The 23,261-nt window shown below is 57.8% G+C and overlaps 2 protein-coding genes and 1 long non-coding RNA gene across 6 annotated transcripts in view, besides 4 other annotated features; 1 reads left to right on the top strand and 2 right to left on the bottom strand.

Annotated features, from left to right (window-relative positions):
- The window catches only part of ANKRD11 (ankyrin repeat domain containing 11), a 222,932-nt gene that overhangs the window by 188,376 nt on the left and 11,295 nt on the right, over positions 1-23,261 (top strand). For 3 of the 4 annotated variants that reach the window (NM_001256183.2, NM_013275.6, NM_001256182.2), the window contains 5 exons: positions 11,003-11,173; positions 11,358-11,561; positions 13,516-13,658; positions 16,000-16,147; positions 16,537-23,114. In NM_001256183.2, coding sequence (NP_001243112.1) covers positions 11,003-11,173; positions 11,358-11,561; positions 13,516-13,658; positions 16,000-16,147; positions 16,537-23,114 — 7,244 coding nt within the window. Of the gene's footprint in view, positions 1-10,408; positions 10,506-11,002; positions 11,174-11,357; positions 11,562-13,515; positions 13,659-15,072; positions 15,526-15,999; positions 16,148-16,536; positions 23,115-23,261 lie in introns of those variants that run through there. The other variant, NR_045839.2, reaches the window with a different exon arrangement.
- On the bottom strand, positions 1,199-6,058 carry LOC124903757 (keratin-associated protein 5-2-like). The gene is made up of 2 exons (XM_047435030.1): positions 5,422-6,058; positions 1,199-4,995 (listed from the first exon to the last, which is right to left on the bottom strand). The coding sequence occupies exon 2, from the start codon at positions 2,752-2,754 to the stop codon at positions 1,825-1,827; it is 930 nt and encodes a 309-aa protein (XP_047290986.1). The 5' UTR covers positions 2,755-4,995; positions 5,422-6,058; the 3' UTR covers positions 1,199-1,824.
- On the bottom strand, positions 3,869-6,058 carry LOC105371414 (uncharacterized). Its single transcript, NR_136339.1, has 3 exons — positions 5,422-6,058; positions 4,224-4,995; positions 3,869-4,035 (listed from the first exon to the last, which is right to left on the bottom strand). It is a non-coding gene; the product is annotated as an uncharacterized LOC105371414 (long non-coding RNA).
- Positions 5,945-6,790: an enhancer, noted in NCBI's record as "H3K27ac-H3K4me1 hESC enhancer chr16:89361804-89362649 (GRCh37/hg19 assembly coordinates)". NCBI's record gives its function as "activates a minimal SCP1, AML or CMV promoter by ChIP-STARR-seq in primed H9 embryonic stem cells {active_cell/tissue: H9 hESC(primed)}" and the evidence as "EXISTENCE:reporter gene assay evidence [ECO:0000049][PMID:30033119]".
- Positions 6,791-7,637: an enhancer, noted in NCBI's record as "H3K27ac-H3K4me1 hESC enhancer chr16:89360957-89361803 (GRCh37/hg19 assembly coordinates)". NCBI's record gives its function as "activates a minimal SCP1, AML or CMV promoter by ChIP-STARR-seq in primed H9 embryonic stem cells {active_cell/tissue: H9 hESC(primed)}" and the evidence as "EXISTENCE:reporter gene assay evidence [ECO:0000049][PMID:30033119]".
- Positions 7,638-8,483: an enhancer, noted in NCBI's record as "H3K27ac-H3K4me1 hESC enhancer chr16:89360111-89360956 (GRCh37/hg19 assembly coordinates)". NCBI's record gives its function as "activates a minimal SCP1, AML or CMV promoter by ChIP-STARR-seq in primed H9 embryonic stem cells {active_cell/tissue: H9 hESC(primed)}" and the evidence as "EXISTENCE:reporter gene assay evidence [ECO:0000049][PMID:30033119]".
- Positions 10,177-11,023: an enhancer, noted in NCBI's record as "OCT4-NANOG-H3K27ac-H3K4me1 hESC enhancer chr16:89357571-89358417 (GRCh37/hg19 assembly coordinates)". NCBI's record gives its function as "activates a minimal SCP1, AML or CMV promoter by ChIP-STARR-seq in naive H9 embryonic stem cells {active_cell/tissue: H9 hESC(naive)}" and the evidence as "EXISTENCE:reporter gene assay evidence [ECO:0000049][PMID:30033119]".

The following is a 23,261-nucleotide window of genomic DNA, read 5'->3' as shown; positions in this document are numbered from 1 at the left end:
CACGCCGCGTCCCCTCCTTCCCCCAGAGGAGCCGTTCTTGCTCAGAAATGAGTGGGGTGGAGGGAGAGGCGCACACCAGCAGGGATGAGAAGAGAAACATTGGTGCAGGGTTAACTGACACGTGACAGACAAGAGACTCTTCTCTGGTCCCCAGCAGTCAGGCCTCTCTGGAGGGGTGTGGGTGCCCCTTGCTATGGTGGGAGGGATGCAGGGTCACCACCGTGCCGGATGCCTTGGCTGTGTCCAAGTGGCAGAGGCTGGCACGTCTCCCTCAGAGACCTCCATGTTGCTGTGGGGATGGCTTCCCGCCTCCCAGATGCAGGGTTGAGTCGGCCCTGCCCGCGGTCCAGTGCCATGGAGATGTGGCCTCTGCGGTGCTTAGTCAGGGCTGGGGGCCGCCTGCCAAGAACAATGTGATTCTGTCTGTTGTGAATCAGCCCAGTTTAAAGCAGTCCCCGAGGCTGTGCATCCGCGTGGTCCCTGCACAGCAGCCTGGAGGCTGTCCAGGCAGACGTGAGCATGTGACAGCATCACCTCTGTGTCTTCCAGAGCGCTGGGCAAGAGCCCGTCCTAGGACCAGGCCTCTGTAAGGGCTGTGGGTGCAGCAAGGAGTGGGAAGGCACCTGCCATGTCCCGGCCCCAAGACAGCTCTGCCCACCGAGCCCTCTCAGACCAGCTTGCCCTGGGACTTCTAGCCCATCTTGCCTGCCCTGCTCTGCCTGCCCTGTCTGCCCGGGGCCTCTTGTATCTGCTTTTGAAGTCTGTCCTCTACCACCTCAAGGGTGGTCTCAGTTTAAAAAGCCTTATCACTGAAAGCATTCATATTAAATTATATGATATCTGGGATTTGCTTCAAATGATACTACTTTGTCTACTTTTTTATATGTGTAAGGTTTCCCAAAACTTAAAAAATCTAAAAGTAGCCAGGCACAGTGGCTCACACCCTTCACCCTTCCAGCACTTTGGCGGGAGGATCCCTTGAGGCTAGGAGGTCAAGGCTGCAGTGAGCCGTGATTGCGCCACTGCCCTCCAGCCTGGGCGACAGAGTGAGACCCTGTCCATAAAAAATAAAATAGATAAATAAATAATCAGTCAACCAGCGAATGTTTTTGAGGTTGCTGTGCATCATTGCCTGGCCTCCCTGGGGTTCTGGGGAGCCTCCTGCCCCGCTGTTTCTCCTGCGCCTTCGTCTGTGACCCTGAGTCTCGCTTCTCCCTGCCTAGGACCGCCGGGGTCCTGCTTGTCCTGGGGCAGCCACGAGGGAGCCCTCGTCAGGAGCGCCATGGGCCGAAGCTGCCTGCCCTCTGCACGTGGATGTTTCTTTGGAACAAGGGGAAAAATTATGATTTTCTTATTTTGCTTTGACCTGTGAATGACACCCTGGTCTCTGGTGCCTGGGGTGTGCTCTCTGCAGTGCTGCCAGGCACATGCTGGTTCCTTCAGCGTTAGGTGCTTGGCACCTTCAGTCTTTTCCTGACGTCATGTTTGTTCCTGGTGCCTCAGATAGGAGACGGCTGTTCTGACGGCTCCTGCTTCCCCATTCCTGGAGGGAAGACAGACTTAGCCACTGGTATCTGTGGGACTTCTTGGAACTCTGAATGCCAGACCTTGCCCAGTGCTAGAGGCGACAAGTGTGTGAAGTTGAAGAGGCTTCTCCCACCCGCTCAGCTGCAGTGGACCCGAGCGGGCAGAGAGAGCAGAGTGCAGCAGGGGCCAGGCTGTGCTCGCAGGCGGGGCAGGTGCCTGGAGAGCATGGCGCCCCTGGGAGCCTCTGGCCAGGAAGGGCATGTGCACTGCAGTGTGCCGTGGACCAGTGGCCTCAGCTCAGTGTGTTGACGAGGGTCCCAAGGCACTCACGTGTGTGGGGATGTTAGCAACACACGGCGGGAAGCCCTGATGCAGTTTCTCACCAAGCGTGTAGCAGACCCCACGCACCCCACACAGGTCAGGCACCCCACACAGGGCACAGACCCCACACACCCCACACAGGGCAGGCACCCCACACAGGGCACAGACCCCACGCACCCCACACAGGGCAGGCACCCCACACAGGGCACAGACCGCACGCACCCCACACAGGGCAGGCACCCCACACAGGGCACAGACCCCACGCACCCCACACAGGGCAGGCACCTCACACAGGGCACAGACCCCACGCATCCCACACAGGGCAGGCACCCCACACAGGGCACAGACCCCACACACCCCACACAGGGCAGGCACCTCACACAGGGCACAGACCCCATGCACCACACACAGGGCAGGCACCCCACACAGGGCACAGACCCCACGCACCCCACACAGGGTACAGACCCCACACACCCCACACAGGGCAGGCACCCCACACAGGGCACAGACCCCACGCAGCCCACACAGGGCAGGTACCCCACACAGGGCACAGACCCCACGCACCCCACACAGGGCAGGCACCCCACACAAGGCACAGACCCCACGCATCCCACACAGGGCAGGCACCCCACACAGGGCAGGCATCCCACACAGGGCACAGACCCCACGCACCCCACACAGGGCAGGCACCTCACACAGGGCACAGACCCCATGCATCCCACACAGGGCAGGCACCCCACACAGGGCACAGACCCCACGCACCCCACACGGGGCAGGCAGCTCACACAGGGCACAGACCCCAAGCACCCCACACAGGGCACAGACCCCACGCACCCCACACAGGGCACAGACCCCACACACCCCACACAGGGCAGGCACCTCACACAGGGCACAGACCCCATGCATCCCACACAGGGCAGGCACCCCACACAGGGCACAGACCCCACACACCCCACACAGGGCAGGCACCCCACACAGGGCACAGACCCCACGCACCCCACACAGGGCAGGGATCCCACGCAGGGCACAGATCCCACGCAGGGCAGGGCCAGCCCAAGGCCAGGCCCCTCCCCTGTAGATCTCCTCCCAGGCAGGACCAGAGCCACAGTCACTTCCACACTATCTCCTTCCCTAGAAACCTCTGCAGACTCTTCCTCCTCTCCTCGATACACAGGGGCCCCTGCCACAGCCTGACTCTCTGCCACCTCGTGAGTCTCTGGAAAGCAGGGTCGGCCTCTGAATACAGAGGACTTGGGTCCTGCCGGAGGATGCTTGGCCAGTGGGTGCTGGCACGTGAGCAGCCCCCGGGGAGTCAGAGTGGGGCTGCAGCGAAGGCCGTGGTGGTCGAGGTGAGGGTGGTGGCCAGGTCTTGTTGCCGCAGTGAGGATTCTGGGGTTACCCTAAGAGCCACCACATTCAGGCACTCAAGAAAAAGCACGTCAAAATAAAATATTTTCACATGATTAAGAACTCCGCGTGATTGGTCTCTGGTCCTCCTATTTCTCAACCATTTTTCCTCTCTAGACGTAAGCAGTTTCTCATACAAAGGGAAGCTTGGACTAGCAAAGGGAAGGTTCTTGCTGTTTAAAATTCTGTAATCCCCAAGCCGCAGCAAAGGCTTCCCTGACACCCCTCAGAAGTGCACTTAGGCCGGTAGCCAGGCCCATGTTGTCAACACAACACAGACAAGCTGGGGTCCACAAGACCACCCGAGGCTCAGCGATTTGATGGAGGACCCCGGGACTCAGGATAAAGGTGGTGGCTGCCGTGGGAGCAGTCAGCCAAGTGAGGGGGGCGGGCAGGGGCCGTCTGCTACCTCCTGGCTCCATGCTGTGGGACTTTGGGCCCATTTCTCAGCCTGTCTGTGCCTCTCAGCCCTTTCATCCATAAAGCTCTGCTGTGTGAGGAGCTGTGGCCCCTCGACAGAGGGGTCCCCCCAGCCCTGTGCTCTCACCGCCCATGCATTCGGCCAGGCAGGCCTGTGCCCTGCAGGAGTGACGGACACAGCTCAGGCCTCAGCGCAGGTTTGGACGTTGATCTTGTTTATTTTAAAATACCCACGATGCTGTGTGTGTGGAAAGGAGGCCCAGGGTGGGAAACCGTTCTGTTTGGTTGTCATCTGAGCCCTTTTGCCGACATTGCTTCCTTCCTTCCTGGCTTCTTGTTCACCATGGTGACCGCTGGATGCTGGTGAAACCACCATGGGGCTCAGGCCCTGCTCCTTCCCACCCTTGCCACATAACCCTGTTTGCCTCCACAGGCTTCCTGTGGAACTGGTCCTTCCGCCCCACCCCACCCTACCCCTACCCCACCCCGGCCTGGAGATGGGGAAGGCATGGAGGTTGTGCAGGCAAGGGCTGGACGCACAGCCTTACCTCTGTGTGACCCCTTCACATACACTGCGGAAGAAGCCAAAGCTGAAAGGCGTAAGAGATGACCCAGCTCCCATCGGCAGGCGGGAGGGCTGAGGTCACGCAGCAGACAGGGGTAGGCCCTGTCTTTCTTTAAGTGATCAATGACGGTAACTGACAGAAAGAAGGCAGAAAGAGAGAGAAACCTGGAGATTGGAAGGAGAAGCCAGTCTCACCACAAGATGGCTCACAGTGCTCAGCGGGCGCCCGCCAGCTTCTCTTGTTGGCCCAGGACAGGCTGTTCGGAGCTTGTCTTGCTGCCCCAAGGAGGATGTCAGTGGGAATATGGTTGCGCCCTCGTTTGGAGTTGTGCGAGCGTTGAGCTCAGTGCCCGGGTAGGAACTTGGCGTTGTGGACCATCCGCCTCGTGTAGATCGGCTGTGATTTAGACTTCTTGGCCAGAAGTGCTGTATTTCATGGCTTTGAACATCCGGATGAGGCCAGATGTTTGGTGTGGACAGCATGGTTTTTAGTCAAATGGAAGAGAATCTGTGAGCAGCAGCCGTGCTACAAAGCTGCACCCGGCCCTGCCCATCAGTTCCATGAGCTGTAACCGCCATCGGCCGTGAACTTTCTGTTGTTTGAAAATATCGCCATGGAAACATCCCTTTGTGGAGCAGAATCAAGAATGTATTTTGACGTCTTCGAGTTTTACGGTGGGACGCAGGAGTTGCACATTTTCCTATGTTGACAGTATCGTGGCCTGTGTCTCCTAAAAGACTCTTGCTAGAAAAGCCTAGAAATTAGAGGTGCTAAATGATTGATACAAAAGGCATTTGTTCAGATGAGCAGCTGAGGCCACACACCTCCACGTCCCTGGGGCCCAACCTCAGGGTCTCTGCCTTGGAGCCCAGCTTCAGACCTCCCAGGGAGGTAGAGGAAGGGGCTTTGGGCCCAGACCCCACGGAAAGCTTGTCCCCTCGAGAGGGCCACACTTCCTGGACACTGGGCTATCAGGGTAGACACTGTCCCCCCAGCTAAGAGGGACAGGTGCTGAGGAGGGATGAGGGGCTTTGAGAGGTCACCAATGAGACTTCTGACCCATTCCTGCCCTCTGGTGGGGCTGGCATTTGGATTTGTGCTGTTTTATGCTGCTGGAAGTGCCCCACACTCCCTGGGGCCCCCACCACAGCAAAAGCAAACCCTCCCTGGAGAGACACACCTTCCTCATCCCGGCCTTCCGGCTCCCAGAGTGTAGACAGACGAAGAGCCTGGTTGGAATTACAAGACGTTGAGGAAGAAAGCTGTTCTGAGAGGGTCAGCAGGGGTCAGCCCCAGGGACCTCACGTGCTGGGATGGTTAAATGCACAGTATTCATCAGGGGAGTTAAAACCATGGAGTATCATGCAGATGTTTTTAAGGCATATGGAATATCTGGAAATGAAAACTATAATCACTGAAATAAAAAACCCAGTGAGCAGATGATGTAGCTTATTAGACACAACATAAGAAAGTATTGGTGAATTGGAAGTTCTAACAAAAGAGATTGCCTAGACTCTGGAGCACAGAAAGAAAGTGAGACAGGAAGCCTGCAGGAAGCGGGGAGCTGTGGAGGAGAGAATGCAGCTTAACAGGCACCTCGGCAGAGGAGAGAGCAGGGCAGGGAGACGGTGGCTCCAGAGGCCGGCAGCAGAGGGCTTTTCAAGGTTCATAAAAACACAAGCCTCAAATTCAAAAAGTATAATGAATTATAAGCAGGAGAAAGAGCAGTAATTACACATTTAAATATGACTCTGACGTGAAGTTTTCAGAACAGCAAAGGGAGGATGTTAAAAGCAGCCAGAGGCACACCCACCTGTGGTCCCAGCTACTCCTGAGGCTGAAGTGGGAGGGTCGCTTGAGCCTGGGAGGTGGAGGCTGCGGTGAGCTGAGATTGCGCCACTGTGCTCCATCCTTGGCTACAGAGCAAGACCTTGTCTCAAAAAAAAAAAAAAAAAAAAAGGCAGCCAGATAGAGAAGACACTCCCTGCAGAGCACCCCCAGGCGGTTCACAGCCCCCCCCAATCCCACCTGCACAGAGCACCCCCAGGAAGGTTGCAGGCCCCCCACATCACATCCCACCTGCACAGAGCACCCCAAGGAAGGTCGCATCCCCCCTCCGATCCCACCTGCACAGAGCACCCCTCGGGAAGGTCACAGCCCCCGCTCCGATCCCACCAGCACAGGGCACCCCCAGGCGCGTCACATCCCCCCCATCCCACCTGCACAGAGCCAGGTGCCACCGCCGTTTGCCTCGGGACGCTCGCCTCCAGTCTCTGCTGCCTCAGAAAGGCCATGGCTGGATGCAGGGGCAGGAAGTGGGCTCCAGCTCCCAAAAGCATTGTCCACTGTGGCCCCTGCTGCCCCAGGCCAAGGCCGTGCTCCAGCAGCACCAGCACCAGGAAGGGGCATGGGGCTCATGGAGGGGTCTCAGCTCTGTGCTGAGGAGGAGAGGGTTCCGTGGAATCTTCCACTGGCCAGCTGGGTAGTGAGGTGTGCTGCCAGCCTCAGAGGGCTGGCGAGGTGGATGTGGTTTGAAGAAAGGCCCTACGGGCCTTGTTTCTTAAAGATGAGGTGGGTGGCCGCCCAGGCTCAGGTCAGCGGACACAGGTGCCACCGCCAACATGCTTGACTTGGGAAGACACAGCCTCTCCTGGCACCCTCCACCGCTCTCCCTGGACCTCTGCCCTCAGCCCCAGGCTGCCTGAGCCCACAAAGCCCTCAGAGCCTGCAGGCCGTGTTCCGACTGCAGGGCAGGGGTGGAAGGGGGCTTCTGAGTGCTGTGGAGTGGCTCCCACCCCCACCCCGGGGTCAGAGGCACCCAGGGCCACATCTGTCTGTGGTGCTGTAGCCGCACTTAGTCCCTAGACTTGCCAGTTTTCCACTTTGCAACTTGGTGAATACCATTTGGAATTCATAGAAATTGTATTTGGCTTCCATTTGGACGGTAGAAACAGGAAATTTGCAGAATGCTACAGGAACTTGCTGGCTGTCCTAGGGGTAGCTCCAGATGCTCTCACCCTTTTCTTACCTGCAGACAACACCCCGCGCCTCCTGCGCTCTGCACTGTGTGGAGGGCAGGGAGCAGGTTTTGCAGCCTCTCCTCTCAGAGGAGCGTTTCTCAGGGGCACACGGCTCCAGGTCATCCCAGGCCTGGGGTAGGAGGGGCAGGCAGGCAGGCAGTGCGGGACCCACTTGTGTGGTGCCTGACAGTGCAGGTACAGGTACGGGCTGTGTGTGTGCACGTCAAGGACCCGCTCAGCTGCTCTCAGACCATGGTGTCGCTGGGTTGGAATGGAGAGCAGGCATTGTTGAGCCATGGGCTGTGGCACATGGGGGTCTCGCTCCGTGGGTGGGGCTTTCCCTCTACCCCAGAAGCCACTGGAGTGGCCAGTGTCTCAGAGCTGACAGACGTGCAAGTTTGCTGGGCTCCGGAGCTTGGGTGGTGTCTGGCGCGTGTTGTGGGCGTTGTAGATGCTCGTAGCTGCAGGTGCTTGTTTCACAGTGGAGAGATTGGCATCCTGGGAGATCTGGTTTCATATTGGACTTTTTTGGTGTCAGGACAAGTAAAAAGTCCTGTTTCAGGACAGGGAGAGCTGGGTGAAAAGTTGCTGCTTCCTGGGAGCAAGCTTTTCCTGAGTGTGGGGCAGAGCAAGGTCCCTGTGGTGGCTCCAGGCACCAGAATTCACCAGGAGGTTGGCAGCACCTTCCATGCGAATTGCTGGGAGCCAGCCCTGTAAAGCTGTCCTGGCCGCGTAAGGGAAGCCAACTCAGGCTTTCTTCACCAAAGCTCAGAGCAGAAGCAGAGGGAGGGCCTGGTGGGGAGCGGGAGGGATGTGGCCCTGACCCTGAGGCTCAGGCCCTGGAGCCCACCCAGGAAGTCTCTGGGGGCACCGAGTCCTGCCCATTCTGCACATGTTGGGTGTGAGCTGCACCTGAGATGGCCGCCCTGCAGGAGTGGGACATGTTCTGTTTGCCACAAAGCAGCTCTTTGCTGCCCCTCAGAGCGGGGACGCAGCGTGGGCTCCTGGCCTGCCAGCCTAAAGACTGACTTCTAAGGAACGCCTTTGCCTCTGCCTGTTCCTCTGACACACGCCTCCTAGGGTCCTTTGATAACTTAAGAGCATGGCAACGCCTGCACTTCGGGATGTAAACATACTGCAGCCCCAACACCGCCCCAGCTCCTCCCAACACCGCCCCAGCTCCTCCCTCCGCAGCCCCACCTCTGCCCCAGCTCCTCCCTCCGCAGCCCCAACTCTGCCCCAGCTCCTCCCTCTGCAGCCCCAATACCACCCCGCCTCCTCCCCTCCGCAGCCCCAACACCGCCCCAGCTCCTCCCTCCGCAGCCCCAACTCTGCCCCAGCTCCTCCCTCCGCAGCCCCAATACCGCCCCAGCTCCTCCCTCCGCAGCCCCAACACCACCCCGCCTCCTCGCTCTGCAGCCCCAACTCTGCCCCAGCTCCTCCCTCCGCAGCCACAACTCTGCCCCAGCTCCTCCCTCCGCAACCCCAACTCTGCCCCAGCTCCTCCCTCCGCAACCCCAACTCTGCCCCAGCTCCTCCCTGTGTCCACCCCTAGTGGCCACATGCAGCACAGAAGTGGGGCCCACTCGCTTTTCACTTCTGATGGTCAATGGAATAAGGAGATGCCGTCTGCTCCCAGGAGTCTCCTGTGCTGTGTGCAGCTTTGCAAAGTCTGTGTATCTCGGGGATTCTGCTTTCCTCGTGTTCTCAGGGGGCTTCGTGTCTCCAAAACATTAACCCCCCTGCTCTGGGTGACGGAGGGAGCAGGCCTCTGAATGTGCGTGGCTAGGTCTTGGGGATCAGGGCCCTGCAGAGGTTCTCAGCTGCTTCTCCAGGCGACTGTGGGCAGACCAGCTGCTCGGTGAGTGTGGGCCCCTCCTGGAGAGAGGAGGACTTGAGGGCTATCGGTGGGGGAGCTGGGGTTTCTCCAGCAGCTTCGTCGCCTCTTTCCTAGAGGGAGGCAGCCGCAGGCCTGCTTCTGTTGTTTAGAGGTGGCTATGAGAAGCAAGCCTGGGGAGGGCCGGCCCCCGGGCAGCATGGAGGGTGCAGGGAAAGCATGGGGCGCACGCAGAGACCCACAGCCAAGCGCCTGTGACCCAAGCTCACTGCTAAGGTGTGGCTACGCCAATGATGGCTGTAGGCTGGGGCTCATTGGCCGGTGGCGAGGCTGCCTCCCCAACCACCGTGTTTGCCAGGTTCTATGAGGGGCTGGGGCCAAAGCTCAAGTGCTTTCTCAGATCTGTGCGTTGAGGACTGTTTACAGACTAGCTGGTGGTGGCGATGGCAGCCTGCAGTACTTGGGGTTTTGCCCATGAGTGTGACGCAGGTCGATGTGGCCAGGTGTGTGCCTTCCTGCAGGCTTGTCCCATAGGACATACGAATCCACATTCTCAGCATGCCCCAGACCGAATTCCTAAGAAATCAGCCTCAGATACCTTGGAAAGAACTAGAGTGGGTGGGCAGCGTCCTCTTAGGAAATCGACGGGCACATTCACGGGGACCATGGTGGTGAACAGCAAGAGAGTCGGGCCCTGGGAGCTGAGCTGAGAGACTAGTTAAGACCGTTCTGTGTTCCAGTGACCGGGCAGGTGTGGGATCCAGTTAGTCCGTTGTTAGAGATGTCTCCCACCTCTGTAGGATCAAACACCAGCCGAGGGAGAAGTCCTGAAGAGAGGCTTCTTGGGAGTGCTGAATGGAAGGGAAGGGAGGTGCCTCAGAGGAGAGCTTCAGAGGCCCACGTCTTCCTGGTGGCCCTTCTTCCCCGAGTCAGGCCTTGGCAGAGCCTTGCCTCTGCGCTGCACCTCTGCAGTTTCACCCCATGACCTAGAAAACCCCAGAACCCGCAGGGCAGCTGGAGGAGGATTCAGAGGTGTCTGGCCCCTGATTTCCATCCACAGGAGGGCACTGGTCAGGCAGAGGAGGAGGCATCTTCTGTGCCCCCGACTCTTGGTGCTTGGGGTCTTCTCTTCCCCGCCCCTGCCTCCTGCCTCTTTTAAAAGACACAGCACGTGAGTTGCGTTAGACGCCAGCCGAGTGTTCTGTAACGGGTCAGATGAGTGCAGGGTGTGCTTGTTACGAGGAGGCTGAGGTGGAAACAGCCGAGCTCTCACACCGTGTCTTGTTAGTGCTCTGTGTTGATGCCTTCAGATGCCTCCAGCCCAGTCCCTGTTGTGGTGCTGCAAGGCTGGTACGCTCCTCGAAGCACCATGGCATGAGATGGAGGTTCCTAGAAGCAAGAAGAAAGGTACAGTACTGACCAGTTGGCCTTGATTTACTGATGTGTTTTAAACTGTGTCTGCCATTTTATATCTGCACTGTTTGGAGGAGGGACGGGGAAGGTGGAATTGAATTACAGACACGTGTATTGAACAGAGACCTGTCCTGTGTGAGCCAGGTCACCGGTGCTAAGCTGTCCCACCGCATTCATGTGTGGTACGAGGTCTGGGGAGGCCCAGGAGAGGTGCCTGGAGTGAGTGGATGCTCGGTGGAGGCCCAGGCTTAGCAGACTTGAGGGGCTGGTAACGAGGTGTTTAAATGGTCTCACAGTCACTGCTGAGAGGTGAGGTGGGCGGCACCAATGCTCCCAGCACCGCTGTGCTTTCCCCATACACAGACCTTCCTTTCTGCTCTGTCAGCTGTCAGGTGGACGCAGGGGGCTCCGTAACATTAGGTAAGGACCTAGCTTTGGAGGACACCATGGCATGAAATCTCTCCTCCCTCTCTCCCTCGCCCGCCTCACAGAGAAGCAGGGCCCTGAGCGGAAGAGGATTAAGAAGGAGCCTGTCACCCGGAAGGCCGGGCTGCTGTTTGGCATGGGGCTGTCTGGAATCCGAGCCGGCTACCCCCTCTCCGAGCGCCAGCAGGTGGCCCTTCTCATGCAGATGACGGCCGAGGAGTCTGCCAACAGCCCAGGTGAGCCCGGCCTGTGGGTGGTCCCTGGCGCAGGGAAGGGGCTCTGCCTGGTCGCAGCCTCATGGCTGTGCTGAGGACAAGCCCTGTGCAAAGGGACCTCGTGATGGTGGCCTGGGCTCTTGAAGATTGGACAAAGCAGGACCACCCCACAGTAATGCCCATCTGTCCCCTCCTTGGCCTGCAGTGGACACAACACCAAAGCACCCCTCCCAGTCTACAGTGTGTCAGAAGGGAACGCCCAACTCTGCCTCAAAAACCAAAGATAAAGTGAACAAGAGAAACGAGCGTGGAGAGACCCGCCTGCACCGAGCCGCCATCCGCGGGGACGCCCGGCGCATCAAAGAGCTCATCAGCGAGGGGGCAGACGTCAACGTCAAGGACTTCGCAGGTGGGCACCCTGTGCCTGGCAAGGGCCAGAGAGCCCCACTGGAGCCCTGAGCCTCCCCCAGTGGAGTCCTGAGCCTCCCCCCATTGGAGCCCTGAGCCTCCCCCCATTGGAGCCCTGAGCCTCCCCCCATTGGAGCCCTGAGCCTCCCCCGCTGGAGCCCTGAGCCTCACCCCATTGGAGCCCTGAGCCTCCCCCCATTGGAGCCCTGAGCCTCCCCCAATTGGAGCCCTGAGCCTCCCCCGCTGGAGCCCTGAGCCTCCCCCCATTGGAGCCCTGAGCCTCCCCCGCTGGAGCCCTGAGCCTCCCCCCATTGGAGCCCTGAGCCTCCCCCGGCTGGAGCCCTGAGCCTACCCCCATTGGAGCCCTGAGCCTACCCCCCGCTGGAGCCCTGAGCCTCCCCCATTGGAGCCGTGAGCCTCCCATCGGGTTGGATGGGCTGTGGCCTCGTGGGGTGCGCGTCTGCTCTGCAGGGCTCGGGGTGTTCACAGCCACACTCACTCCAGTGGGGTTCCCTGTTGCTGAGAAGAAATCAGTGTTTCTTGGAAAGTATTTCAAAGTAAACTTGTTTGCTGGGTTTTATTGTTATTTTTATTTTTAGATAGGGTCTCGCTCTGTTGCTCAGGCTGGAGTGCAGTGGCGTGATCACGACTCACTGAAGCTTTGAACTCCTGGGCTCAAGCGATGTTCCCAACTCAGCCTTCCGGGTGCAGGCGCACGCCACCATGCCTGGCTAATTTTTTTATTTTTTGTAGAGACGGGGTCTTACTAAGTTGCCCAGGCTGGTTTGAACTCATGGCCTCAAGCAGTCCTCACGCCTTGGCTTCCCAAAGTGCTGGGATTATAGCTGTGAGCCCCCATGCCTGGCCTATCTGTAAGAGAACTGAGGAATTTTAAATTTTACTCTGCTGTGTTCCATAAACCTCACTCCAGGCCCCTGGAGGGACCTGTCCCTGGTGTGTCTAGCACATGGCTGCATTCTCCAGCAGAGGGCACCTCTGAGCCGGGAGGCCGGCTGGGTCGACACCCTGGACTGGACTCCCTCACTTCACAGGGCTGGGTCCTGGGGCTTGCCTGGGACCCGGAGAGAACTGAGCGAGCCTCCCCAGACCTGATACGGCCCAGGGGCTTAAGAGCTCCATGATTAGAGTTTAATATTCCCTTTCTTTACATAAAATACCCCCATCAAACCATGAGTGGTCCACATATCCCAGGACTGTCTGTCCACAGTGTAAGGGGAACAGATGAGCAAAATCGTGTGTGTAGAATCCTTCTAGATTTCTCCAACTGCCCTGGTTTATAGCTGTCTGACCCAAACCTAATTTAGCACCTTTTTTTTTTAAAGCATTTTTCTAAAAGAAACTTCTCTAGAGCAGTGCCGTGTGCTTCCGTGGGGCCGAGCTCTGTTTCCACGGATGCGTGCGGCCACACCGTCCGATGGTGGACTCCAAGCTCCCCAGCCAGGAGCTGCCTGCCCGGGGTGGCCTTCGTCGTGCAGCCCGAGCCTGGGCGCCCCTGGAGCTCCTGCTGTAGCAGCTCTTCAGCCTTCAGGAGGCTCTCAGCCTTGGTTTCCGTTTCCGACACGGGAGGTTTCCCCTCCGTGTTTTGCAAAGGCACATACGCCTCCAGATCGGTGAGGATGAGGCTGCTGTTTACTACACTGTGTGTTCACTGATTTCCTACCCTTTTAGGGTGATTGCCGCAGATTAGCCCTGCAGGTTGTCAGTCCGTAGGGTTAATAAGCTAGATATGGATCGTGCTAACGAGGTGCCACAGTAAAGAGAATTTAGGGGTTCTCTGGGCCAGCACCTGCTTCCCTAAACTGCAGCCCTCACTACAGGGCAGCTCCCCACCTGGCTTGTCCCCGCACTGTAGCACATCCTCAGGGCGCTGCCTCCAGAGACAGGAGGGAAGTTCTGAGGATTAAATAACGTACGTCCTGAGTGTCTGTTTCCAGGCTGGACGGCGCTGCACGAGGCCTGTAACCGGGGCTACTACGACGTCGCGAAGCAGCTGCTGGCTGCAGGTGCGGAGGTGAACACCAAGGGCCTAGATGACGACACGCCTTTGCACGACGCTGCCAACAACGGGCACTACAAGGTTGGCATCCCCCCGTTCTTCACACATCCGGCCTGTCCTGGCATCTGGGTGGTTCTGTAGCTTTGTTTCCCCGTAGCTAGCCGGTTCCATGATGTGGGGCACAGGAAAGCGAGTTTTCGCCTTGCCCACCCTCAAGGCCGAGCTGTGCCCTCTGTCTGCCCCCAGCTTTCCCCTTCTGGGTCAGCCTGGACGGCCTCTCACAGGTTTCCCAGCAAGTGCCATCTATGAAAGGCTCGTATCCGCTAGCCGTGTAGGTCTGGTTGGATTTGAGCAGGTGAAGGATTACACCAAGTGGAAGGAGGCCTGCAGGAGTTGCTGCCGGTCCCCGTCACCACTGTGGGACTGTTAGACCTGCAAGGCAGACCCACCCTCGTCTGGAATGAGGTAACACCAAGAGGTGTGGCCAGTGCACAGAACCATAGACTCAAGCTTTAGAAAGTGGCCATTGTGGCCGGCCCAGGAGCAGTGGGCACTGAGAGGTCTCAGCCTCTGTGGGGGTCGAGAGAGGTCGTGGTGTGCCTGACAGCCCCGTCCTGCCGGAAAGCAGGGGTGCTGCCTGGAGATGCGGCGGGTCTCACTGATGTCTTCATCAGAGCTCCGTGGAGAGCCCCTGGTTGCAGGCAGGACAGCAAGGCTGAGGGGTCACACGGGGCCACATCTGCTGGTGCCCGTCGTGCTCCTCTGCAGCAAGCCCAGCCTGGCCATTGCTGGAGGTCCTGGAGCCCACAGTGCCTTGGCCTTAAAGAGCTCACTTGAGAAACGGCTTGTTCCGGTGGGGTGGGGGGTGGATTGAAGACTCTGAGACGAGCAGGGAACTCAGAACACTGAGTCCCTATTTGATGTTAAAATATGACCGTTAAACTTCTGGGTAAGATAATGAATGGCACTATGGTTTATACTGTTTCTGTTTTATGGGCTCTTCCAGAGACGTGAACTGGAAAAGGCTCTGCAGTGTCTGGGATTCGCTCAGTGCTGCAGGGGAGGGCAGGTGTGAGGGGAATGGCCCTGGAGGGTGATGGGGCTGGGGCATCCGATGCAGCTTTATAGTTCTGTAATTACCACTTTTAAACTTTTTATTACGAAAAATGTCAAGGACCCTGGAATTACGGTGAGGTAGGCAGGATAATGGCCCCCAAGATGCCCGTGTTGTGACCCCCAGACCTTGTGAGTGCCTCACATGGGGAGATTGTCCTAGGTCATCTTGCAGGCCCAGGGCAGCCCCATGGGCCCTTAAAGCTTGAGAGCCTTTCCTGCTGAGTCTGAGAGATGCCAGAAGCAGGAGAGGTTAGAACCCGAGGAGGGCCGCACCTGCGCTGCTGGCCTTAGAGGAGGGCCGAGGAGTGTGGTGGCCCCTAAGCAGCTGGGACTGGGGACCTCCGTCCCAGCCCTGCAAGAAACTGAATTCTGCCAGCAGCCCCCATGATGGAGGAAAGGAAGGATCCTGCCCTGCCAGCACCTTGACCTCTGACCTCCACAATTGTAAGCCTGAGGTTTTGTGTAGTCACCATAGAAAACTCACACACATAAGAACTCTGTACTGATTCAACAATAGAACATGTCACACACGAACTGGAAACTGATTCTGTGGGCGACAAGAGTCTATAGTAAACGTTATGACAGATTCTTTGAATGCGCTAATCTCAGACTGGACTAAAGTTGGGATTAAATTTAATTTGTACTTGAGTTCAGTGCATTGCTGTTCTGGGCATAGGAAATCCAGGTTGCTGGTGATGAACAGCTGAAAAGAGCTGTGTCACCATGGTTGTCTCTGTCAGTCATGTGACCACCCTTACCCTTGTAAAATCAAGCAAGGGAGAGATTATTTTCTAATGTAAATGAAAATAAAAAATAAAGCAGCTTGCAGAAACTTGGTCTTTGTTTCCTCTATTCTGTCCCCCCAACCCTTTCCATAACACTCTTCTCCCTAACCTCTTGCCTGAGCCCTCCACGACCACTCCGGCACCACTCTGCTGAGGAGCTCACTGTTGGCGGGAGGGGAGAGCCTTCGTGAGAAGATTCCTGGGAAGTCGTCTACTTGCGGCAACGGAGAAATGGTGGAAAAAAATCCAAAGGAGGCAGAGCCCTTCTGAAGGAGAGCACAGGAGGGGTGCGGGAGCCCCCGCGGCTGCAGCCCTTCCCACAGAGGAGCCACAGCCTCGCCCACCACACCCAGAGCCTCGCCAGGCAGTCCCTGGGCGCTCGGCTCCCACACCCTCAGACCGTGAGGGGCTGCTCTCGGGTCGAACCCCAGGGTTCTCGGAAGGGGCTGCCGTGTTATGCGGAACGGTAGAGGAGTTGTGCTTCTCCAGCAGTCCCTGACGCGGGTGTTACTGTCTTGTAGGTGGTGAAGCTGCTGCTGCGGTACGGAGGGAACCCGCAGCAGAGCAACAGGAAAGGCGAGACGCCGCTGAAAGTGGCCAACTCCCCCACGATGGTGAACCTCCTGTTAGGCAAAGGCACTTACACTTCCAGCGAGGAGAGCTCGACGGGTAAGTCACGGCCACCTGAGCTGCCTGTTCTTTTATGCAGGGATGGTAGGAGCTGCCCTGTGGTGTTTGCACAGTGTTGCCCCTCTGATCAGCTCCTCCTCGGATGCTGGGGGCTTACAGGAGCTTCTGGACTGCGGGAGACCCCGCCCAGGTGTGTCACTGCCGAGAAGCCTGCAGTCTTCATTCTAAGATGCCAGCCCTGTCTGTCAGCTGAGCTCTGTCTGGTTTCCTCCTGCCTGTGGCTGGTTTCCATGAGTCGAGCAAAGTGTCTCTGCAGAGGCAGGGTGGGAACCTTCCCGCAGACACATCTGCAGAGCCTCCCTCCTCTGCCATTCTGGGGAGAGCTGTTTTGAGCCTGCCTGTGACCTCTCGCTTCCTACCTCCAACAGAGAGCTCAGAAGAGGAAGACGCACCATCCTTCGCACCTTCCAGTTCAGTCGACGGCAACAACACGGACTCCGAGTTCGAAAAAGGCCTCAAGCACAAGGCCAAGAACCCAGAGCCACAGAAGGCCACGGCCCCCGTCAAGGACGAGTATGAGTTTGATGAGGACGACGAGCAGGACAGGGTTCCTCCGGTGGACGACAAGCACCTATTGAAAAAGGACTACAGAAAAGAAACGAAATCCAATAGTTTTATCTCTATACCCAAAATGGAGGTTAAAAGTTACACTAAAAATAACACGATTGCACCAAAGAAAGCGTCCCATCGTATCCTGTCAGACACGTCGGACGAGGAGGACGCGAGTGTCACCGTGGGGACAGGAGAGAAGCTGAGACTCTCGGCACATACGATATTGCCTGGTAGTAAGACACGAGAGCCTTCTAATGCCAAGCAGCAGAAGGAAAAAAATAAAGTGAAAAAGAAGCGAAAGAAAGAAACAAAAGGCAGAGAGGTTCGCTTCGGAAAGCGGAGCGACAAGTTCTGCTCCTCGGAGTCGGAGAGCGAGTCCTCAGAGAGTGGGGAGGATGACAGGGACTCTCTGGGGAGCTCTGGCTGCCTCAAGGGGTCCCCGCTGGTGCTGAAGGACCCCTCCCTGTTCAGCTCCCTCTCTGCCTCCTCCACCTCGTCTCACGGGAGCTCTGCCGCCCAGAAGCAGAACCCCAGCCACACAGACCAGCACACCAAGCACTGGCGGACAGACAATTGGAAAACCATTTCTTCCCCGGCTTGGTCAGAGGTCAGTTCTTTATCAGACTCCACAAGGACGAGACTGACAAGCGAGTCTGACTACTCCTCTGAGGGCTCCAGTGTGGAATCGCTGAAGCCAGTGAGGAAGAGGCAGGAGCACAGGAAGCGAGCCTCCCTGTCGGAGAAGAAGAGCCCCTTCCTGTCCAGCGCGGAGGGCGCTGTCCCCAAACTGGACAAGGAGGGGAAAGTTGTCAAAAAACATAAAACAAAACACAAACACAAAAACAAGGAGAAGGGACAGTGTTCCATCAGCCAAGAGCTGAAGTTGAAAAGTTTTACTTACGAATATGAGGACTCCAAGCAGAAGTCAGATAAGGCTATACTGTTAGAGAATGATCTTTCCACTGAAAACAAGCTAAAAGTGTTAAAGCACGATCGCGACCACTTTAAAAAAGAAGAGAAACTTAGCAAAATGAAATTAGAAGAAAAAGAATGGCTCTTTAAAGATGAAAAATCACTGAAGAGAATCAAAGACACAAACAAAGACATCAGCAGGTCTTTCCGAGAAGAGAAAGACCGTTCGAATAAAGCAGAAAAGGAGAGATCGCTGAAGGAAAAGTCTCCGAAAGAAGAAAAACTGAGACTGTACAAAGAGGAGAGAAAGAAGAAATCAAAAGACCGGCCCTCAAAATTAGAGAAGAAGAATGATTTAAAAGAGGACAAAATTTCAAAAGAGAAGGAGAAGATTTTTAAAGAAGATAAAGAAAAACTCAAAAAAGAAAAGGTTTATAGGGAAGATTCTGCTTTTGACGAATATTGTAACAAAAATCAGTTTCTGGAGAATGAAGACACCAAATTTAGCCTTTCTGACGATCAGCGAGATCGGTGGTTTTCTGACTTGTCCGATTCATCCTTTGATTTCAAAGGGGAGGACAGCTGGGACTCGCCAGTGACAGACTACAGGGACATGAAGAGCGACTCTGTGGCCAAGCTCATCTTGGAGACGGTGAAGGAGGACAGCAAGGAGAGGAGGCGGGACAGCCGGGCCCGGGAGAAGCGAGACTACAGAGAGCCCTTCTTCCGAAAGAAGGACAGGGACTATTTGGATAAAAACTCTGAGAAGAGGAAAGAGCAGACCGAAAAGCATAAAAGTGTCCCTGGCTACCTTTCGGAAAAGGACAAGAAGAGGAGAGAGTCCGCAGAGGCCGGGCGGGACAGAAAGGACGCCCTGGAGAGCTGCAAGGAGCGCAGGGACGGCAGGGCCAAGCCCGAGGAGGCGCACCGGGAGGAGCTGAAGGAGTGTGGCTGCGAGAGTGGCTTCAAGGACAAGTCCGACGGCGACTTTGGGAAGGGCCTGGAGCCGTGGGAACGGCACCACCCAGCACGAGAGAAGGAGAAGAAGGATGGCCCCGATAAGGAAAGGAAGGAGAAGACAAAACCAGAAAGATACAAAGAGAAATCCAGTGACAAGGACAAAAGTGAGAAATCAATCCTGGAAAAATGTCAGAAGGACAAAGAATTTGATAAATGTTTTAAAGAGAAAAAAGATACCAAGGAAAAACATAAAGACACACATGGCAAAGACAAAGAAAGGAAAGCGTCTCTCGACCAAGGGAAAGAGAAGAAGGAGAAGGCTTTCCCTGGGATCATCTCAGAAGACTTCTCTGAAAAAAAAGATGACAAGAAAGGCAAAGAGAAAAGCTGGTACATCGCAGACATCTTCACAGATGAGAGTGAGGACGACAGAGACAGCTGCATGGGGAGCGGGTTCAAGATGGGAGAGGCCAGCGACTTGCCGAGGACGGACGGCCTCCAGGAGAAGGAGGAAGGACGGGAGGCCTATGCCTCCGACAGACACAGGAAGTCTTCTGACAAGCAGCACCCTGAGAGGCAGAAGGACAAGGAGCCCAGAGACAGGAGAAAGGACCGAGGGGCTGCCGACGCGGGGAGAGACAAAAAAGAGAAAGTCTTTGAAAAGCACAAGGAGAAGAAGGATAAAGAGTCCACAGAAAAGTACAAGGACAGGAAGGACAGAGCCTCAGTGGACTCCACGCAAGATAAGAAAAATAAACAGAAGCTCCCCGAGAAGGCTGAAAAGAAGCACGCTGCCGAAGACAAGGCTAAAAGCAAACACAAAGAGAAGTCGGACAAAGAACATTCCAAGGAGAGGAAGTCCTCGAGAAGTGCCGACGCGGAAAAAAGCCTGCTTGAAAAGTTGGAAGAAGAGGCTCTCCATGAGTACAGAGAAGACTCCAACGATAAAATCAGCGAGGTCTCCTCTGACAGCTTCACGGACCGAGGGCAGGAGCCGGGGCTGACTGCCTTCCTGGAGGTCTCTTTCACGGAGCCACCTGGAGACGACAAGCCGAGGGAGAGCGCCTGCCTCCCTGAGAAGCTGAAAGAGAAGGAGAGGCACAGACACTCCTCATCTTCATCCAAGAAGAGCCACGACCGAGAGCGAGCCAAGAAAGAGAAGGCCGAGAAGAAAGAGAAGGGCGAAGATTACAAGGAGGGCGGTAGCAGGAAGGACTCCGGCCAGTACGAAAAGGACTTCCTGGAGGCGGATGCTTACGGAGTTTCTTACAACATGAAAGCTGACATAGAAGATGAGCTAGATAAAACCATTGAATTGTTTTCTACCGAAAAGAAAGATAAAAATGATTCCGAGAGAGAACCTTCCAAGAAAATAGAAAAGGAACTAAAGCCTTATGGATCTAGTGCCATCAACATCCTAAAAGAGAAGAAGAAGAGAGAGAAACACAGGGAGAAATGGAGAGACGAGAAGGAGAGGCACCGGGACAGGCATGCGGATGGGCTGCTGCGGCATCACAGGGACGAGCTCCTGCGGCATCACAGGGACGAGCAGAAGCCCGCCACCAGGGACAAGGACAGCCCGCCCCGCGTGCTCAAAGACAAGTCCAGGGACGAGGGCCCGAGGCTCGGCGATGCCAAACTGAAGGAGAAATTCAAGGACGGTGCAGAGAAAGAAAAGGGCGACCCAGTGAAGATGAGCAACGGGAATGATAAGGTAGCGCCATCCAAAGACCCAGGCAAGAAAGACGCCAGGCCCAGGGAGAAGCTCCTGGGGGACGGCGACCTGATGATGACCAGCTTCGAGAGGATGCTGTCCCAGAAGGACCTGGAGATCGAGGAGCGCCACAAGCGGCACAAGGAGAGGATGAAGCAAATGGAGAAGCTGAGGCACCGGTCCGGAGACCCCAAGCTCAAGGAGAAGGCGAAGCCGGCAGACGACGGGCGGAAGAAGGGTCTGGACATTCCTGCTAAGAAACCGCCGGGGCTGGACCCTCCATTTAAAGACAAAAAGCTCAAAGAGTCGACTCCTATTCCACCTGCCGCGGAAAATAAGCTACACCCAGCATCAGGTGCAGACTCCAAAGACTGGCTGGCAGGCCCTCACATGAAAGAGGTCCTGCCTGCGTCCCCCAGGCCTGACCAGAGCCGGCCCACTGGCGTGCCCACCCCTACGTCGGTGCTATCCTGCCCCAGCTACGAGGAGGTGATGCACACGCCCAGGACCCCGTCCTGCAGCGCCGATGACTACGCGGACCTCGTGTTCGACTGCGCCGACTCGCAGCACTCCACGCCCGTGCCCACCGCTCCCACCAGCGCCTGCTCCCCCTCCTTTTTCGACAGGTTCTCCGTGGCTTCAAGTGGGCTTTCGGAAAACGCCAGCCAGGCTCCTGCCAGGCCTCTCTCCACAAACCTTTACCGCTCGGTCTCTGTCGACATTAGGAGGACCCCCGAGGAAGAATTCAGCGTCGGAGACAAGCTCTTCAGGCAGCAGAGCGTTCCTGCTGCCTCCAGCTACGACTCTCCCATGCCACCCTCGATGGAAGACAGGGCGCCCCTGCCCCCGGTTCCCGCGGAGAAGTTTGCCTGCTTGTCGCCAGGGTACTACTCCCCAGACTATGGCCTCCCGTCGCCCAAAGTCGACGCTTTGCACTGCCCACCGGCTGCCGTTGTCACTGTCACCCCGTCTCCAGAGGGCGTCTTCTCAAGTTTACAAGCAAAACCTTCCCCTTCCCCCAGAGCCGAGCTGCTGGTTCCTTCCCTCGAAGGGGCCCTTCCCCCGGACCTGGACACCTCCGAGGACCAGCAGGCGACGGCCGCCATCATCCCCCCGGAGCCCAGCTACCTGGAGCCGCTGGACGAGGGTCCCTTCAGCGCCGTCATCACCGAGGAGCCCGTTGAGTGGGCCCACCCCTCCGAGCAGGCGCTTGCCTCTAGCCTGATCGGGGGCACCTCTGAAAACCCTGTGAGCTGGCCTGTGGGCTCGGACCTCCTGCTGAAGTCTCCACAGAGATTCCCCGAGTCCCCAAAGCGTTTCTGCCCCGCGGACCCCCTCCACTCTGCCGCCCCAGGGCCCTTCAGCGCCTCGGAGGCGCCGTACCCCGCCCCTCCCGCCTCTCCTGCCCCGTACGCTCTGCCCGTCGCTGAGCCGGGGCTGGAGGACGTCAAGGACGGAGTGGACGCCGTCCCCGCCGCCATCTCCACCTCAGAGGCGGCTCCCTACGCCCCTCCCTCCGGGCTGGAGTCCTTCTTCAGCAACTGCAAGTCACTTCCGGAAGCCCCGCTGGACGTGGCCCCCGAGCCCGCCTGTGTAGCCGCTGTGGCTCAGGTGGAGGCTCTGGGGCCCCTGGAAAATAGCTTCCTGGACGGCAGCCGCGGCCTGTCTCACCTCGGCCAGGTGGAGCCGGTGCCCTGGGCGGACGCCTTCGCCGGCCCCGAGGACGACCTGGACCTGGGGCCCTTCTCCCTGCCGGAGCTTCCCCTGCAGACTAAAGATGCCGCAGATGGTGAAGCGGAACCCGTGGAAGAAAGTCTTGCTCCTCCAGAAGAGATGCCTCCAGGGGCCCCCGGGGTCATAAACGGTGGGGATGTTTCCACCGTAGTGGCTGAGGAGCCGCCGGCACTGCCTCCTGACCAGGCCTCCACCCGGCTCCCTGCAGAGCTCGAGCCTGAGCCCTCAGGGGAGCCAAAGCTGGACGTGGCTCTAGAAGCTGCGGTGGAGGCGGAGACGGTGCCGGAAGAGAGGGCCCGTGGGGATCCGGACTCCAGCGTGGAGCCCGCGCCCGTTCCCCCAGAACAGCGCCCACTGGGGAGCGGAGACCAGGGGGCTGAGGCTGAAGGCCCCCCCGCCGCGTCCCTCTGTGCCCCTGACGGCCCCGCCCCGAACACTGTGGCACAAGCTCAGGCCGCAGACGGTGCCGGCCCCGAGGACGACACTGAGGCCTCCCGTGCCGCCGCCCCAGCCGAAGGCCCTCCTGGCGGCATCCAGCCGGAAGCCGCAGAACCAAAACCCACGGCCGAAGCCCCGAAGGCCCCCCGAGTGGAGGAGATCCCTCAGCGCATGACCAGGAACCGGGCGCAGATGCTCGCGAACCAGAGCAAGCAGGGCCCGCCCCCCTCCGAGAAGGAGTGCGCCCCCACCCCTGCCCCGGTCACCAGGGCCAAGGCCCGCGGCTCCGAGGACGACGACGCCCAGGCCCAGCATCCGCGCAAACGCCGCTTTCAGCGCTCCACCCAGCAGCTGCAGCAGCAGCTGAACACGTCCACGCAGCAGACGCGGGAGGTGATCCAGCAGACGCTGGCCGCCATCGTGGACGCCATCAAGCTGGATGCCATCGAGCCCTACCACAGCGACAGGGCCAACCCCTACTTCGAATACCTGCAGATCAGGAAGAAGATCGAGGAGAAGCGCAAGATCCTGTGCTGTATCACGCCGCAGGCGCCCCAGTGCTACGCCGAGTACGTCACCTACACGGGCTCCTACCTCCTGGACGGCAAGCCGCTCAGCAAGCTCCACATCCCCGTGGTGAGTGCGGGGCCCGGGAGAGCCACTGCCTTCTCTCTCTGGGATGCGTCTGGGGCCCCTAGTCACGGCTTCCTCCAGCCCGTCTTGTCCCACTCATGGCCCTTGACCTCTCTCGACCTTCTGCCACCTGAGGAGACACAGCCCCAC

The sequence above is a fragment of the Homo sapiens genome, chromosome 16 (assembly GCF_000001405.40).
Source record: "Homo sapiens chromosome 16, GRCh38.p14 Primary Assembly".
Classification (NCBI taxonomy): Eukaryota; Metazoa; Chordata; class Mammalia; order Primates; family Hominidae; genus Homo; species Homo sapiens.
The sequence above is the reverse complement of the archived record's forward strand: the minus strand, read 5'-3'. Positions and strand labels throughout refer to the sequence as shown.

What these genes read in the sequence shown, in the direction of transcription:
- LOC124903757 (XM_047435030.1), bottom strand. Translation starts at nt 2,754, where the DNA reads ATGCATGGGGTCTGTGCCCTGTGTGAGGTGCCTGCCCTGTGTGGGGTG.